At 39.8% G+C, this 18,831-nt stretch overlaps 1 protein-coding gene, 1 long non-coding RNA gene and 1 other non-coding gene across 6 annotated transcripts in view, besides 2 other annotated features; 1 reads left to right on the top strand and 2 right to left on the bottom strand.

Annotated features, from left to right (window-relative positions):
• The window catches only part of AGFG1 (ArfGAP with FG repeats 1), an 89,062-nt gene extending 71,599 nt beyond the window's left edge, over positions 1-17,463 (bottom strand). For all 4 annotated transcript variants that reach the window (NM_001135187.2, NM_004504.5, NM_001135188.2 and 1 more), the window contains exon 1: positions 17,031-17,463. In NM_001135187.2, the coding sequence (NP_001128659.1) occupies positions 17,031-17,197 (167 nt within the window). In that variant the 5' untranslated portion in view covers positions 17,198-17,463. The remainder of the gene's footprint in view (positions 1-17,030) is intronic.
• Positions 16,755-17,474: a silencer, noted in NCBI's record as "silent region_12399". NCBI's record gives its function as "represses an Ori minimal core promoter by ATAC-STARR-seq in GM12878 lymphoblastoid cells {active_cell/tissue: GM12878}" and the evidence as "EXISTENCE:reporter gene assay evidence [ECO:0000049][PMID:35858748]".
• Positions 17,432-17,487, bottom strand: MIR5703 (microRNA 5703). The gene has a single exon (NR_049888.1). It is a non-coding gene; the product is annotated as a microRNA 5703 (primary transcript).
• Positions 17,520-18,831, top strand: LOC124907994 (uncharacterized). Its single transcript, XR_007088114.1, has 2 exons — positions 17,520-18,459; positions 18,630-18,831. It is a non-coding gene; the product is annotated as an uncharacterized LOC124907994 (long non-coding RNA).
• Positions 17,587-18,550: an enhancer, noted in NCBI's record as "H3K27ac-H3K4me1 hESC enhancer chr2:228335785-228336748 (GRCh37/hg19 assembly coordinates)". NCBI's record gives its function as "activates a minimal SCP1, AML or CMV promoter by ChIP-STARR-seq in naive H9 embryonic stem cells {active_cell/tissue: H9 hESC(naive)}" and the evidence as "EXISTENCE:reporter gene assay evidence [ECO:0000049][PMID:30033119]".

Here is an 18,831-nt window from a genome sequence, read left to right as displayed (position 1 = left end):
CTCATTTTTTCCTTCTGTTGTCATAAAATAGGGAAATAAAGGCTGAACAAGAAGAACTAAGTAACCGAAATTTTATTCTGGTAAAACTCTCAAACTTGGCCAGGTGTGGTGGCTCACACCTGTAATCTCAGTACTTTGGGAGGCCAAGGTGGGCATATCACTTGAGGTCAGAAGTTTGAGACCAGCCTGGCCAACATGGTGAAACCCCATCTCTACTAAAAATACGAAAATTAGGCAGGTGTGGTGGCGCTTGCCAGCTACTTAGGAGGCTGAGGCAGGAGAATCGCTTGACCCCAGGAGGCGGAAGTTGCAGTGAGCTGAGATTGCGCCACTGCATTCCATCCTGGGCAGCAGACTGAGACTCCGTCTCAAAAAAAAAAAAAAAAAAAAAAAAACTCTCAAAACTAACTCTGAAGAAACAACCTCAGTAGTAACTTGCAAGTACCTTTAAAGCTTGCAATCATAAAATAAGGCTCTAAAGACTAGTTTCAAATTTCCAAAAGTGGCCGGGCACAGTGGCTCATGCCTGTAATCCCAGTACTTTGGGAGGCCAAGGTGGAAAGATCACTTGAGGTCAGGAGTTCGAGATCAGCCTGGCCAACATGTTGAAACCCTGTCTCTACTAAAAACTACAAAAATTATCTGGGCATGGTGTCGCACGCCTGTAGTCCCAGCTACTCGGGAGGCTGAGGCAGCAGAATCACCTGAACCTGGGAGGCAGAGGGTGCAGTGAGCCAAGATTGCACCACTGCAGTCCAGCATGGGCAACAGAGCTAGACTCTCAAATAAATAAATAAATAAGTAAATAAATTTCCAAAAGTGAAAATTTAGAAAAGTCATTATTACTCACTTAGGGCACAACACTTTGTTTCCAACTCATCAGTATTATGAGAACACTAATCCACCCCTTTCAGGGAGGGTTTAATCATTTATGATAAAATACATTCTACCTTGCCCCAAAACAATTCGCAAAGGAATTAACATCTTATTGTTCTCTCAAATGCCTCTACTCCTTCCTTCTCACTTTGCAACTTTGTCTCTCCTTATTCTGTAATATCTCCTCCTTGTTCCAGACAAGCCTTAACCTTTCCACCTACTGGTAATATCTCCTTTTAAAAATGGAAAAGGCAAAGGAGTAACTTTCTGATGAGGACATATCAAACACTATTAAAAGGATGTATGTTTTGGAAATTTTGGAGCAAACAACTATACCCGTATACTTCTCAAACTGTTCAATGAGGAAACAACAATTCATAAAGCTGACCCTAACTCTTTTTAAGTTACGTCACACATATGTAATCTCACAAATGCAGTACAGTGTGTAAATATATCCCAGGCCCTATCATATCACAGGGTATATTAATGCACAAAGAAGGTATTCATATTACCTAAATAAGTGAACATTTTGAACTTATGAAACAAGTACAACCAGAATGTACTCATAACCAAATGTGGAAAGGACATTTTTTCCAAGTGAAATCTATTACAGGATTTGTTACTCGTTACAGGATTTATTCAAATGAGCTCTCTCAGTACACTCAAAATGAGATTCAATTTACAAAATGGCAGACAATTTTACAAGGCTACACTTATTACATAAATTGAGTAAGCATGAGGAAATTTTATGTGTTCATGTTGCTTTCTCTAATTGCTCTTTTATATTCCATTTATTCAGGGATATTAACTGTATCTCAGTGCAAGGCTGTACATGGATTTTTCATTTTTTAGCCTTCAAAAGCTTTGTACATGGATTTTACATGCTTATAAGAGTCTGAGAAAAAGCTGAAGACTGATTCCATCAATGTCTTAAGTAGCATTCAGAGTGATGAGTTGCAATGAAAATGAGTAGTCTCGCCCCTATACCACCCACACCCCACCCTACCCACCCGTGTGCCAAAACATGAGTAGTCTCAAACACTGATTGTGGGATAAACTCACCAATTTTTATTAAGAACCTCATTACTCCCATTTGACCCAGCTATGCCACTTTTGGGAATCAATTCTAAAAAAAGAATTGGAAATAGAGCTGACCACCTATGTACAAGATGTTCACCAAACATTATTCATAATAGGAAAACATCAGAAACACTTCACACCAAAGAGGAAATGGTTAAACAAATAACAATTTTAAAAAGTATGACATTATGCACTTACAATTGTGCTTTAACTTTTTAAGATAAAAATTATATAGTATTCTCAGAGCTAATTTTTTTAATCAGCAAAAAAAAAACAGACAAACCAAATACTCCAAAATGTTAACAGGTCTTGTATATAAGTGACGAGATCGAATGAATTTTTTTCTATTCATAATTTTCTATTCTCTCCAAGTTTTCTATAATAAAGATAACTTACTCTGCAGTAGAAAAAAAGGGTAAGAAATAATGGAAAGTCCAAGTGACTAGCAGTAGTATTCCAAAAATTTAGATTTTTAGTCTTGGCTTTATGAATGTGAACGTCTATGCTGAAGAATTAGAAAAAGAAATTAACAGAAGGAGGGCGGTTTTCCATTCTAAGGCTTTCTTTCCATTTTTCTAAAACCTGGAAAACCTTCCCTCGCAAATCCTGTGATACCCACCAGCATCAACACCTTATCTTGATTTCTCTAAATCAAGGCTTCTTAACTTTGACACTATTGACATTTTGGGTTGGATAATTCTTTATTGTGGAGGGGTGTCCTATGCATTGTACGATGTTGAGCAGCATCTGCATTCCTGGCTCTACTCACTAAATGTCAGTAGCACCCTTCATCAAACAGTGACAATCAAAAATGTTTCCAGACACTGCCAAATATCCCCCACAGGGTAAAACCCCTGCAGTTGAGAACCACTGCTCTAAATATAATAAATATGTAAATTACCAAGCAAAAGAAATTCATGGAAGTTCTTTGGCTCTCTACTAAGATATAAACTCTACCAAGGTTCAATCTTGCATAACTTTCTTTTCAGAACAACAGAAAACAGAATAAATATTTCTCTCTCTGAAACAATAAACAACAAAGTAAACATACATGTTTAAAATCCATATAGAATATATATTAAAATTTAAGTTAGAAAACAGACTAAGGAAAGTGTCCACAACAAATAACCAAAAATAAACTATATAATATAAAGCACTCTTATATGAACTGGTTGGCAAAATGTAAGTTAATAAGGCAGTAGGAAATTAATATGTATACAGTATCTAGACTGGCACTTTACATATTTAATCTCATTAATTTCTACTTCCAACAGTATGGCAAACTGAAAAGGCTCCTCTACTACAATATGATAGTCCATAAATTACCCCCCGAAAACCCTACGACTATTAACATACTATTGAACTTTTCAGAAAGGGAAATCTCTAAGGATCCCCCACCCCACAGAAAAGAAAGACAAAAAATTAAAAATTAAGCTGAAACCAGAAATGTGTCCCATGTTATACACAAGAAGCAATGTTGTTCAGAAAGCAAGTGCCAACAATAGCCAAGGCGAGATGAGAGAGCTCAACCTCAGATATCTCTCTTAAGTTAAACCTAAGACCCTGGATGGGAAATAAAATACCTTCAGGTTACATAGGATCCTAGGATCCCATGAACACGCAAATTCTCTCTAAAGGAATGCATTTTCAATTTAAGCTATCAAGATTTCCAAATATTAAGTTCAATAAAATATGAGGCTGCAGTAAAAATTATCGCACAAAAATGAAACAAACCAATGAGCTTGAGTCAGTAAATGCAAAAGATTAACACCACCTCCCTCCAAGACTAGCTATCTGAATTACCAGTTACGAAATATAGTATATAGGAAACATTAAATGAAAGATGGAGTAAAAATGAGCAGGAAATATGTAATTATCAGAATGAGGCAAATTTAAAAATCAGAATTTTCAGAAATGAAAAATTATAAATGTGGAAATTAAAAATTCACCAAATCAGGTAGAGAGCAGATTAGACATAACTAGAGAGAATTAATGAACTGGAAGGTAACACTGAAGTGATAATGACTGAGATTTTTTTCAGATCCAATAAAAGTCATGCATCTACAGATATAAAAAGCACAGCTCATCAAAATCTGGATAAATAAAATCCAATTTAAAAACAATTTGGGCTGGGTGCGGTGGCTCACACCTGTAATCCCAGTACTTTGGGAGGCTGAGGCAGGTGGATCACCTGAGGTCAGGAGTTCCTGGCCAACCTGGTGAAACCCCATCTCTACTGGAAAAAAAAAAAAAAAAAAATTAGCTGGGCATGGTGGCGGGTGCCTGTAATCCTAGCTACTCAGGAGGCTTAGGCAGGAGAATCACTTGAACCTGGGAGTTGGAGGTTGCAGTGAGCTAAGATCACGCCATTGCACTCTAGCCTGAGCGAGACTCTGTCTCAAAAAAAAAAAAAAAAAAAGAAACGATTCGGTGAAACTTCAAAGACAGAGAAGATCTTAAAAGCAACTGGAATGAAAATATAGGGAACAAAATTTGGCTCGTAGTAGACTTCTCAATGGAAGGGAGAAGACCATGGAATATTATCTTCAAGTGGTAAGAAAAAATAACTTGTGAATCCAGCAAAGCTATGTTTGAAGTATAAGATCAAAATAACAGTATCTTCAGATAAAAAACAAAACAAAAAAACCCACTAGGCTAGGTACGGTGGCTTATGTGTGTAATCCCAGCACTTTAGGAGGCCAAGGTGGGCAGATCACCTGAGCTCAGGAGTTCGAGACCAGCCTGGCTAACATGGTGAAACCCCATCTCTACTAACAACAAAAATACAAAAATTAGCCGGGCATGTTGGCGCACACTTGTAATCCCAGCTACTGGGGAGGCTGAGGCAGGAAGATCACTTGAACCCAGGAGGCAGAGGTTACAGTGAGCCAAGATCGTACCACTGCACTCCAGCCTGGGTAACAGAGTGAGACTCCATCTCAAAAAAAAAAAAAAAAAAAAAAAAAAAAAAAAACAAAAAAAAAACTAAGAGATCTTCATTAAAGAAGCTTATACTGTATATACTTTAAGAAGAAAAATGACCCAAGAAAGTCTTGAGATGCTAAGGGGTAAGCAAACTGTAAACTGGCAAATCTAAACAAATATCATCTTATTACAGTAACATCCAACTAACAGAAGGAAAAAAGGGACAAATAATATGTTTACCAACAATAACACTTAAATGAGCCAGGCGCGGTGGCTCACACCTGTAATCTTAATCCCAGCAGGCGGGTGGATCACTTGTGATCAGGAGTTCGAGAGCAGCCTGGCCAACATGGTTAAAACTCCATCTCTACTAAAAATAGAAAAATTAGCCAGGTGTGGTGGCAGTCCTCAATCCCAGCTACTCAGGAGTCTGAGGCAGCAGAATCACTTGAACCTGGGAGGCAGAGGTTGCAGTGAGCCGAGATCACGCCACTGCACTCCAGCCTGGGCCACAGAGTAAAACTCCGTCTCAAAAAAAAAGAAACACCACTTAAATGAAACTACTTTGTATTTTTAAAGACCTTGTATTAACAGAAGATTAAAATACTGATTAACTCTGGAATGTTAATATCAATAGTACAATTTCAATTGTGACCATAAAAGAAAATGGAGGGTGGGGGTAGGGGGGAGGGATAGCATTAGGAGATATACCTAATGTTAATGGGTGCAGCACACCAACATGGCATGTGTATATATATGTAACAAACCTGCACGTTGTGCACATGTACCCCAAAACTTAAAGTATAATAAAAAAAAGAAAACGGAATTCCACAAGTAAAAGGGAAAAATCAAAACAAAACCAAAAAAACTTGGCCAATTTTTTAATTAAACATGCATGTGCCATACAACCTAGCCCTAGATATTTACCCAAGTGAAATGAAAACTTACGTTCACCCAAAAACTTGAGCATAAACATTTACAGCATTTCCATTCATATATATCAAAAACTAGAAACTCCTCAAACAGAAAATGGAAAAACAAACAAGCAATGGAATACTACTTAGCAACAAGGAGGAACAAACTATTAAGATAAACAACAACTAACTTGGATTAATCTTAAAGATAATATGTTGAGTGAAAAAAGGCAATCTAGAAAAGTTATGAGTCCATTTACACAACATTCTTGGAAAGACAAAACCTGCAGTGTTGGAGAACAGATCAGTAATTGCCAGGAGTACAGTAAAAACAAGGGCTAAAAGTTTTTTGGGGTGATGGAAAACTTGCATGTTCTAATTTGAGTGGTGGCTATATGAATCTATACATATGTTAAGATTCACAGAACTGCATACCAAAAAATTATAACGTATGTCAAGAAATAAAAAAACTGTAGTCCTGATTTCGTGTTAGTATCTATAGTAACCACAATTTTTAGAGTAATTAAATTTATCATTAGCAGACTATCTTCACCTACCAAATTTGATCATTTAAGTGAATAAAATCCTGCAGTGAATCAAAACAAGTATTTTTAAGATGTGAACCTGAGGTCACTTCCCTTTTTTGCTAAAGCCCTTCTAGCTACAGGGTGAATTCAGGGTTTATAAAACACTTTTCTGTCATATTAGTCATAACTATTGGATGAAAGTGTTGGGTAAGTAAACCACATTACTTTCATGGGGCCAATACTGAAGTACCACCCATTCCAGATCCTCAAATACACATTTTAAGTCTTCAGTTTTGTGCAAAAAAAAAAAAAAAAAAGACTCAATAACTGCAGTTTTGATATCTTGAAAACATGTTTGCAAGTTAACTGGTTTCAAGAAGTTCAAAGTAGCCTACTGGTGCAGCCCAATACATTTTTGTAGTATAATTAAGACATCTGCAGATCCCCAGGAGATTTAGTTTTAATGACCACCACCCAGGTATGACTGTAACCAGATGGTGTGGCTCATTCCATATGTCCATCAGTGTGCTGCTCTTAACTAGGCCTCAAACAATCTTGCAAATAACCATTTGTTCAATTCAAATAACAATCTGTGCTGGATGAGTAAGTAGGAAAGCTTATTTAGTTAGTTTTATTAATTGTTTTTCTCCTGCTGTGGGAGAAGCTGGTAAAAATATTTTTAATAACCTGTGGAAGTTTATGTAGTTGCCAATAATACTGGCAGAAAGTAATAAAGTTGACATTTAGATCTAGCCCATCCTAGTTATTTACTAAAAATATTACATATGTTTCATAGCATAAAATTATACATTTAAAATCTAGAACAGATGGAAGGAAGGTGCCTTTAGTAGGTTATCAAATCTACAAACTATTGATGCCAAGACACCGTATATGTTGGCTAGTCCAAAATATTCGTCTATCCAGAGTCCAACATTAAAAAACTGAATATATTTAGCTTTCTATATATAATAATAAGCATGATATAAATCCCTATTGTTATTCTGAGTTTCTGGGAAAGCCACAAATACTACACCATAAGGTCCTTGTAACACTTAGAGCAAGCATCTAAAAAATAATATTCAAGTTATGACTTAAACCTAATTAAGGCATTCTAGTTAAAAGTAGTGGACAAGGCTGGGTGCGGTGGCTCACGCCTGTAATCTCAGCACTTTGGGAGGCCGAAGCGGGCAGATCACGAGGTCAGGAGATCGAGACCATCCTGGCTGACATGGTGAAACCCCGTCTTTACTAAAAATACAAAAAATTAGCGGGGCAAGGTGGCGGGCGCCTGTAGTCCCAGCTACGTGGGAGGCTGAGGCAGGAAAATGGCGTGAACCCGGGAGGCAGAGCTTGCAGTGAGCAGAGATCGCGCCCCTGCACTCCAACCTGGGCAACAGCGAGACTCTGTCTCAAAAAAAAAAAAAAAAAAAAAAGTAGTGGACAAAATCTAAATCTCTTCACATGCCCAAACCCACAACGAAATGACAGTAAAGGAATAAGAAGGTATTAACCCACAAGAGACAGAGGGTTACCATGATGTGTTTATCTCATACTGCATGCCTGTATCAAAACTCCTATCTTGTGTACCTCATAAATACATACACCTACTATGTGCCCACAAAAATTAAAATAAACAGAGCGTCAGAGAACAAGAGAAGAGTCCAAAAGCACACGACAGTTCTTGAATAACAAAATTTGGAAGATTTAAAAACAAAATACCAGCAGTAAGTGACTTTATGGAGAAAGCCAAAACAGAAGCTTCTGCAAAGGTGGGAGAAGCCAACTGGAAACTGATTCCCACCACAGGACATATCAAGATTTACTGAAGGAACTGGATACAGGTGAGGGCTTAAAGTGGGGTCAGAAATCATTAGACTCTCCAGTTCCTTAACAGCCAAAAGCATACTCCCACCAGCCCTAGGTGGGAAGTCTGAAGGAAAGTTTTAAAGAGGTTATACCACAGAGACTTCAAACTCAAGACACTGCTGAAGACTCTTGTTAGGGACCATGTGGAAAGCTGGAGGATTATCTAAGATCAAACACACAGAATGACAGTCACCTCCCTCAACTTGGTTCCCAGAACAGTGGCATCACAGGCTTTTATATTCCCCAAAAAAGAAGATTGGAGAAAATATGTCTGCACTATAAAAAGCGTGAGTTTCCAAACAAATTCAAAAAAAAAAAAAAAAAAAAAAAAGCCTAAAACACTGAACAAAAGACCTACACCAAAATACTTCAATATGAGGTTCTGAACAGCAGGAAGAAAAGAAGATCTTACATACTCCAAAAGAGGGAAGAAAAGAAGTGGGTCAGAAAGACTCAGTAATAAGAATAGCATCAGACTTCTCAACAGCAACACTGAAGGTTTGAAGACAACTAAGCAATATATTGAAAGTTCCAAGGGTAAAGTATTTTCACCTTTGTGAATGTAGGCAAACTAATTTTTAAAAAGAAGGCAGAATAAAACATTTTCAGCTTTGTGGCTTTCAAAAATGACCTCTCATTCACCTTTCATCAGGAGGCTAACGGAAATGTTGGGGGTCCTGGAAACAGAGCATCTAACATAGGTTACAAGTGAAGGGAATTTCCAGAATGAAGATAGAAGAAAAGTTCTGGTATGAGAGCCGCACAGCAGGCCTAGACAGCAGCATTTCCAGAGCAGAAGATTATAAAAGTACCCAGAAACAGTTAAAAAAAAAAAAAAAGTAGCTGATGCATCTGATCATATTGAAGGAAGTTCATTGCAGCTCATGCCTGTAATCCCAGCTACCAGGGAGGCTGAGGCAGGAGAATCACCTGAACCTGACAGATGAAAGTTGTAGTGAGCTGAGTTGGCGCCACTGCACTCCAGCCTGGGAGATGGAGTGAGACTCCATCTCAAAAATAAAATAAAATAAAATAAGAAATATGGAAAGACAAGAATTTTTGGAATCTGACAATTACAAGGAAAATTCCTCTTTCCTTTTCTGAACATACACTGTTTCTCCATAACTTACAAACACTGGTGTTGCATCTCCCCCTAGAGTCGTAAAAATAAATGTATTACCTCTCCCAATGCCTTAAATTACCCAATGACAGTGATCATGTGTACAGCTCCCCCACTGTCTAATCTTTTCTTCTTTAAGCTAGTAGCATTTTTGGTTCCTGCAAATGTTCCTCTAATACATAGTTTCAAACTTCCTTACCATCTTGATCAGATTCCTTGGAGCATGCTCCAGTTTGTTAACATTCCTCTTAAAACAAGCAACCAGAATAAAAGTAAGGTATAATTATGACCTCTACAAAACATGTATGGTGTCAATCAAAAAGATTGCTATCTTAGTCAGAAGTCTTTGAGCAAAGTATGTTCTAACACAAACAAAAATTAATTCTCTGTATTTCAAACAACTCAAATAAGTTTCCTGTCCCCACTGAATAGCTCATGAATTTCATTCTAATGTTCAATCAGGTGTCTTTAGCAATAGTTCTCGTGTGTAAGGTTGTAAAAAATGTCACAAGGAACATGCTATTAATGTAAGTACTCAAAGTTATAACTGATTTTAAAACGTTTTTACATACATTAAAGGTATCCAAGTTGTATTTCCCTAGACAATCATCACTTTGATTTGAATTAGAAAACACATTCAAGTGGGGGAAAAAATGAGGGGGAGTAGTAAAACCTAGTCCCGAATATTTCCATAGGAGTTTCTCACAAATGTGAACATCATGCACGCTGCACAGAAAAGAAGGAAAATATCAAATAAGGAGATTTGCCTGTTTTCCAAAGAATGCTATTGGAACAGATACAGAGGTTTCTAAAAAGACAATGATTTTCAAATTGAGATCCAGAGGTCGGCAAGTTCTTTTAAAACAATGTCTTAATTCTTTTCATTTATAATGCACTAATATTATAAAATTTAATGTAAATTTAATCTAAACTGTATTTTATCCACTTTGAAACTAAAAGCCAGTGTTTAAAAATCACATGCCAAAAATGATGGATGAATGAATAGGGAACAGAAAAAGGCTTAACATGGCAATAATGCCTTTATACTCAGTTATGGTCAAATGATGTCACCACAACCTGAATGCTGGAGTTTTCCCAGTATAAAAGGTACCCACAGCACTATACAGAAGAGTCCTTCTTATCCAATTTGCTGGTTAAATCTATGTTTCTCCTTCCCTCTGAGAAACCTAAAGTTAATGCCTACTGCACAATGAACATTCATGGCTAGAAGGCCACTTTCTCCTGCTCCTCTCTCAGGAGAGAGTGAGTTTTATGCTTATCAAAATTTGTCTGGTATAGTATTTGGTAATATAGTTGGTACAGTACTTGGTAAGTATATAGTTTAAGTGAATGTCATGTAAAACAATGGCATGAGTGAGAAGAATTATTTCCATGTAAACTAAGTATTTTTAGAGACTAAAACAAGTCACTAGGATAAGCTGTTATTTGACCATGGAAAAGAACTGTAAAAGACTGAGAGAAAAATCATAAAAATCTAGAAGAATTCAGCATTCAAACTGTTTTATAAGTACATTAAAATGCTAAAAATCATAAATAGTACAGCATGAGTCTGGGTTATATTAGGGGACAAAGAATCTAATCAGTGGACCCATATTCAAAGCCTTATGTGCCAGCAAATTAACAGTTGTATGTTAAAATTTAAAAACCTAAGCTTGAGGCAGGGCATGGTAATTCACGCCTGTAATCCCCACAATTTGGAAGACCAAGGTAGGAGGATTGCTTGAGCCAGGAGTTGGAGATCAGCCTGGGCAACATGGCGAAACCCCATCTCTACAAAAATTAGCTGGGCATGGTGGCACGCGCCTGTAGTCCCAGGTACCTGGGAAGCTGAGGTCGGAGGATCACCTAAGCCTGGGGAGGTCAAGGCTGCAGTGAACCATGATAATGCCACTGCACTCCAGCCTGGGCGACAGAGTGAGACCCTGTCTCAAACCAACAACAAAACCCAAACAAACAAAAAAACCTATGCTTGCTAAATATATATATTATATATGTATATATAATAGATACATGTATATGTATGTGTGCATGTATGTATTTTTTTTTTTTTACTGATTGCTTGCTTTAACTGAATTTTTTGATAAACTTATCCACTATCAAACTTGACTGCATACAATGAGGGGTTCTAATTAGAATTCAAATATAAAAAATAGCACGAGAATTACGGCACATGGTAGTATGCACATGCCAAATTGAAAAGAATCGCTGTTGGAACGGCACCATCATTCCCATTGATTTCAGAATACACAACAGTATTTTCTCAATGAAACTCAAAAATAAGAACACACATTTTGGAGCTAAGAAGTTCCCTAAAAATAATAAAAAGCATGACACAGCCATAAAACAAACATTTATGATGCATCATAAAATATCTATTCTGGGCTGGGCATGGTGGCTCATGCTTGTAATCCAAGCACTTTGGGAGGCCGAGGTAGGTGGATCACCTGAGGTCAGAAGTTCAAGACCAGCCTGGCCAACATGGTGAAACCCCATCTCTACTAAAAATACAAAAAAAATTTAGCCAGGCATGGTGGTGCATGCCTGTAATCCCAGCTGCTTGGGAGGCTGAGGCAGGAGAGTCGCTTGAACCTGGGAGGTGGAGGTTGCAGTGAGGTGAGATCGCACCACTGCACTCCAGCCTGGGTGACGAGTGAAACTCCGTCTCAAAAAATAAAAACAAAAAAAAGAAAAAGTCTTTTTTCTGCCATTTGAAACACAATGAAGTAAAATCTACCATTTAAATCCCCAAAATATAGAATTCACAACAATTTACGGTAACCATGGTAACCATACATTCTTTGGTGGTGGAATCAGCATCAGTTCCAGATCCCAACTTCTAGCAGGTTATAACAGCAAAACACTAAGAGTGTGCACTAATTTTACAACTTAAAGTTGAGCTTGGATAATAGTACCTTCCTCACATCACTGTTACTAGAATGTCTGTCACACAGCTAGCACTCAATAGTTTTTTCTTTTTTTTCAATAAATACTTTAACTGTTGTATCTCCAGCACATGGGCTAGTATCTGGCACTTAATAAATATTTGCTTAAAATAAAAAATTTGTCCTTCACAATTGAAAAAGTATCTAGGCCAGGCGAGGTGGCTCATGCCTGTAATTCCAGCACTTTGAGAGGCCAAGGCGGTGGATCACCTGAGGTCAGGAGTTTAAGACGAGCCTGGCCAACATGGCGAAACCCAGTCTCTACTATAAATACAAAAACTAGCCGGGCATGGTGGCGGGCGCCTGTAATCCCAGCTACTTGGGAGGCTGAGGCAGGAGAATGGCTTGAACCCGGGAGACAGAGGTTGCAGTGAGCCGTGATCGTACCACTGCACTCCAGCCTGGGTGACGGAGTGAGACTATGTCTCAAAAAAAAAAAAAAAAGAGAGAGAGAGAAAGTATAAAATATTTTGGCCACTTACTCTAAATACTTAACTGAATGTGGCCATATCAGAGTATCCAAAAAAAGTAAAAAAGGAATTAAGAATATAAATCCCTGCTCACTGTGACCTCACAAGGTCCTGAATATTATACACAGAGCTCCAAAAGAGCATCTGATTTGCAATCCATCCTAATGCTACTAATTGTATAAAAACATTAAATACCTCTTTTCATCTGTCATCTAAAAAAAATTAAAATTCTTGTAACATTCATCTCAAGAGTCAATGTACACAGAATCAACAGAATATAAGTTACTATCCAGCTACATTTATTACCTGTGAAATTTCAAGCTTAAATGCACTGTCCACATAAAATAGATGGTATTAAAGTGGCAACCTCTTTCTCAAATGTTATTTTTTATTTTATCTAAACCCTCACTGAAAAATTTATGGATCACTTTTTAAGGCTAGGACAATCTTTTATATTACATATCAATTATACTAATGTTTATAGTCTCCATAAAACAAATAATTTAGTCTAAAACTAGTCTTTAAATCAACTAGAAGTTATTTAACATGAAGGCCATTTTTACTGTTGGCTATATTTTAAATGTCTGAAGTGTCCATTCAGAATTTTAGGGATTTCCATAAATACAACCAGAAAGACAGTGAAAGATAGTGACAAACCAATCAGTTAGGATGCCTTCATCATTCTGCCTCAGTAACAAATAGTTTAACTGCATCTAACTCTGAAGTTCATTTTAAAGTTTTACAATCTAAATTCAGTTACACTCTGAATGAACATCATTCAAGCATATAGGACAGTCATCTGAAAAAAAAGAAACAAGAAAGATTAGCTCCAAGTCTAGTAACATTAACAACAAGATGCTAGTTCAATTTATTTTAAAAAAAGGTATTAGTATAAATGATAGAAGGTATGTCACTATCCTAAAATTTAGAATTCATGATAGTGGATACTATTTGCTATGTATTCATATTTTCCAGGTAAATCAAGGAACGGCAGCTAGCATGCCTTATTTCAATATTTGTAACTCCAGTGCTTAGCCCTATCCTCAAATACGGTATGTGCTCAATAAGTAAATACAGTAACGATGTGTATCATTGAATCCTCTTAACAACCCTGAGCTATATGATATCTTCTTAACATAAATAAAGAAACTGAGGCTACAAGGATGGATCTGGGCCAATCTGCATGTAGTGGCCTAGCATAACACCTTGCCCTAAGCCACGAAGCTAGTAGCATTGTCAAAATCTGACTTCAAAATTCATATTCTTTCAATTATACCATGTCATCTAAACATCAGATACATAATTATTAAACCCAAGAGTTATATTATTCTTCCTAAATTATTTTCCTGCACTATTGCTTGTCAAAGAAAAAAATCTTCAGAAGCTATTGTCCCTCCAACGTTCTGCAGTAGACATTTGATGGTTGCCACTCTAGTCTTCATTCCCTACATCCCAAGAATTCTAGATTTCAGATTTGGGAACTCTATTTGGGGATCCTTGTGACAATGAAGTCAGGTTAGAACATGTGTCCAGTTGTGGCATGATCTAAGCTAACCCAATCAGAGGGAAATGCAGAACTTCTGAAAGTATTGGACCAACGACATAATTAAGGCAGTATACCCAGGAGCTGGGGACAACCATGCTCGAATGAGGAAAATCTAGGCAATATTATTAAGCCACTGTATAGTTTTACTTTAAAATCAATCAATAAACCCTTCATATTTTTAAACCAATTAGATTCCGGTTTTGAGTTACAACCATAAAATCCAAAGTGACAGATTTTTATTAGGATATTTCTTATTTAATATCTTTCACATACAGTACTGTTCCCTTACTCATGGCATGTCCTCTTCCTTGATGCTTCTCATCTATAGGGCACTTGCTATATACCAGGCATTACGTGAGATGTTTAACATACATTATTTTTAATACTGAAAACAAATCTACATCCAAAACTTACAAGGGAAATCTTATCCTCACTGTTTCATATAAGAGAAAAATCAAGCTCAAATAGATTGAGTGACATTCTCAATACCGTATAACTAATACTTGGAGTCAGGATTCAAAGCCATGTGTACCTAGCTCATAAGTACTTGATCTTTCAAACATATGAAGCAGAATTTCTCGTTAAAGGTCTTTGCTCAGGCATCAACTCCCAGAGAAGCTGTATCATTTACATATTTCCTGGCTATCTCATTCACAGAAAGGAAATACTACAATATATTGTAACTCTACGTTTACATACTTACAAGGCACGCTCCATAGAACAGTTAAGATCCAGGTAACTTATGACACAGGACAAGTAGGCAATAAATATTTGTGGAATGACTCAATAGAGAAATGAAGTCCTATCTGCCACAGATTAAGTTCCATTAAGATAAATAATTGTCATTATACTGAGATATCCTTTTATGCACAATGTTTCTGAAATGTGGTATCTAGGAAGAAATTTGAAAATATGTCCTTGATATTACACATTTGCTGCTGTACTTACAGGGACTACACAGAAATGTCAGAAATCCGGAAGTGTAAATATATGTATTTTTTCCAAATCAAATACTTTACATGGATTAAAGGACCTGTGTTTAGTAAAAGCAGGACATACATCTTAACCATGTAATAAAAATCAAATACAATTACAATTGTTCTATTGGCTTCATTTTGGAACCAATATTGTCCAACGTAAGTAACAACTTTCTAGCTTAACTCCTTTTTCTGTAAATGAAATGCATGAACCAGGCTACCTCCTTGATATCACCTAGCTCTGTGATTCTGTAGTAATTCGAGAATATTATTAACTGGCAACTTCTCAGAGTGTCTCCCTGGCCACACAGCCTAAAAGTAACCATGAGCACTCTCCTATCAAACAATTTTCATGTTCAGCATAGTACTTGCCCAAGACATTTTTCTTACTTTTGCATCCCCACTGGACTGTAAGAACCAAGAGAACAAGACTTTGCTATATTTACTGGCACACCCCAGGGCCTTACACAACCTAATAGGCACCAAAAAAAATGTCTGCTGAAGAAATAACACTCATGTAATACTAATAATGCCTCTTTGCCCAACTTTAAAAAGCAAATAGTACATACTAGACATGTTCTGCATTTTCTAAGTTTTAAGAAATCAATTTTCCCACATAAAGTATTATGTGCTTTGTATTAATCTTACAAGCAAAGGTTTTAAAAATACTTAGTAACTGCCACGTTGTTAGTAACTTTAAATACAAGATAATAATATAAAAGCATTTTATCAATTCCAAAACCACCTGCAAATTTTCCGAATGAAATTGCACGGCAATAAAAATCTTTATCAAAATAAAGCTTAATGAAGCAAAGAACAACAAACACAAATCATCCCAGTAACTCAGGACGGTAGTGTCTTTCTGAAATCATGGTGACTTGCTAGCTCTCCTCATTTCTGTGTACAGCCAGGGCACTCGGGTATTGATAGCGAGATACAGATAAATCTCACAGATAACTCCATCATATTTAGAATCACACAGCTCCTAGTGGGTACCTTATTGCCATTAAAACTTTCCCCCAACTCCTCAACACTCTCTTCGGACCATAAAACTAAAATCCCACAGCTTCAAATCTGCTCCTCTGCCTCCCCCTCCCGCAATTAATCCTTTCGAACTTTTCCCAGGGGATTCACATCTGCCATCAAGATGCTTTCATCCTGCTACTATTCCTAAGTGCCTGCTTCCTCCCAGTTACGTAGGTACTCTCGACCCAGAAAAAAGGCACGGGCGAGGCAGGCGTCCCTCCCTCCCACCCCAGCTTCTCCCCGACCCCCAGCAGGAGCGCCCAGCAGGTGCCTCGCTCCGCACCGCGGCTCCCGGGCCGCTGAGAGGCGGGGCACACAAAGGACCCGCATGGACCTCCCCCCCGGCCTCCTAGCGTCTTCCCCCACCCCCCACAGCCCGGCGCCCCGGGTAGCTGGAGAGCGAGGGCGGCGGCCGCAGGCTCGACGGAGACCAGGGACGCTCGCCCCGGTCGCCCCCTCCCTGACCCCAACCCCGCCCACGTCCCACCCACGAAGGCTGCCCAGAACGTAAACCCTCGCCCGGCAAAACCGAAAACGCATCCCCAGCCCGGCTGCCCGGGCCCTGCGCATCCAGCCCGCAGCCTCCCACGCCGCGCCCGCCAGCCGGCGCCCAACGGCCGCCCCCGACCGCCTCCCACGGCACCCGGCTCTTTCCCAGCCCCGGAAGGGTCCCGGTCCCGCCGCCCGCTCCCCCACCTCCCGGGAAGGGCCCGACACCCGCCCGGCCGCCCCGCACTCACAGGCTGCCGGAGCAGGAGGTACACACGAAGGAGCCGACCGTCATGTTAACGTAGGTGGGGCCGCGCTGGTCGCAGTCGAAGCACTTTCGGTTGTGCGGGAGGCCGGTCATGTCCCGCAGCATCTTCAGGTGCTTCTCCTCCTGCTTCCGCTTCGCGCTGGCCGCCATGGCCGCGGCGCCAAGGGAGGAGGCCGGCAGGGCCGGGAGCCGGGCAGCGCTGCGCCGGGGGCCCGCGGTCCCACGGGCCGCCCTGGCCGCGGCCGCCGCCCTCCGTCTGCGCGCGCCGCCCGCGCCGGACCCGGCCGCAGCGGCTTGGCTGTACTGGGCTCGACGCGGCCCGGGCGCTGTGGTACGCGGGCTGACGGGCCACACCAACCGGCACAGCCGGGACAACCGCCGCCGCCGCCGCCACCTTCCCGACTTCTCCTGAGGGGAAAAGACGAGGAAGGGGACGGCAAGAGGAGGCCCGCCCTGGGCGGCCGGTAGCCAAGTGTCCGCTGGCGCCCTCTGCTGGCCAGGAGGAGTCACTGCGGCCTCGCTGAGGCATGGGCCGGGTCTGGAGCCAAGTAGGGTAGACACAATGGTGATAATAATATTAATAATAGACAGTATTTATTGAGCGCTTATATATGCAAAGCGTTTCACATGGGTTACCTTCCCCTTCTGTTTAAAACTCTTCAAGGGCTTTCCACTGCTTTGAGTATAATTCCAAATTCCTCACCGTGCCGTAAAAAGTGCTCCATAGTCTAGCCCAGTCTACCTCATTCTTCGTCGTCCTCACTCAGCCACACTGGATTTTGAGTTTTCTGAACACAGCAAGCTCCTTTCTGACTCCTGCAGGACCTTTGCCCTTGCTCTTCTCTCTTTATCTTTGGGCCAGCTAATTTGGGGGGGCTTGGGGTGTCCTGTGCACTGTAGGATACTGGGCGGCGTTCCTAGCCTATACCCACTAGATACAAGAACAAACCCCCCAATTCCCATTGCTGGCAACCAAAAATCCCCAGACATTGCCAAAAGTGGAGGGAACTTTAGGGCGGTGCAGTCACCTGGCTTGAGAACTGCTGCGTGTGGAAACCCGGATCATCCATAGCTGACATCCTCTAAGTCAGGTGGGGCTCAGATGTCACCTCCCCCGCCAGACTGTCCCAGATCAGCCGAGTTAATGTTGCAGCTCACCTTTCTCGAAGTTGCTCTCCATCAAATTGCTGCGTTGTATTTTCGTCTCAGTTCTAGCTATTTGAAATACTGCATCTTATTTCGTGTTTACCATGGGTGATCTGGACTCTCCCTTTAGGCGCTAAACAGCCTGGCCCCCGTATTTTCTGTGCCACTCCACCCCATTCCCCTCGCAGAGCTGGAGACTAGGTGTTCAATGTTGACGGAATGAATACATGAAATCGTTCATGTAATCTTCACAACAACCCTTCGAGGTGAGCGTTATTGTTATTTACATTTTACAAAACAGGAAGATGAAACCCTGAGGGATTAAGTAAATTTACCCAAGGGTACCTATGGCGAAGCTCAATTCCAACCCAGACAGCCAGACTGCAGGACCCAAATCCCCACTGCAACAATCAACTTCGTCTCTCGTTTTCCAAAGGAGTACAGGGAGACCCAGAGAGCTGAAGTTCTCAAATCACTGGGCTGTTGAATGGATTAGAATCTACGTTTCCTAACAGCCAAGACCAACCTCCACATCTCTCATGAAAGGGATTGGGTGAATCAACAAAGTGAGACTTCATATTAATATAATACTACTAATAATAATTAATGTTTTTAATATTAAAAGAAATGGACAGATA

This window comes from Homo sapiens, chromosome 2, assembly GCF_000001405.40.
Source record: "Homo sapiens chromosome 2, GRCh38.p14 Primary Assembly".
NCBI classification, from domain to species: domain Eukaryota; kingdom Metazoa; phylum Chordata; class Mammalia; order Primates; family Hominidae; genus Homo; species Homo sapiens.
Note: the sequence above shows the minus strand (reverse complement) of the source record. Positions and strands in the feature narration are given on the sequence as shown.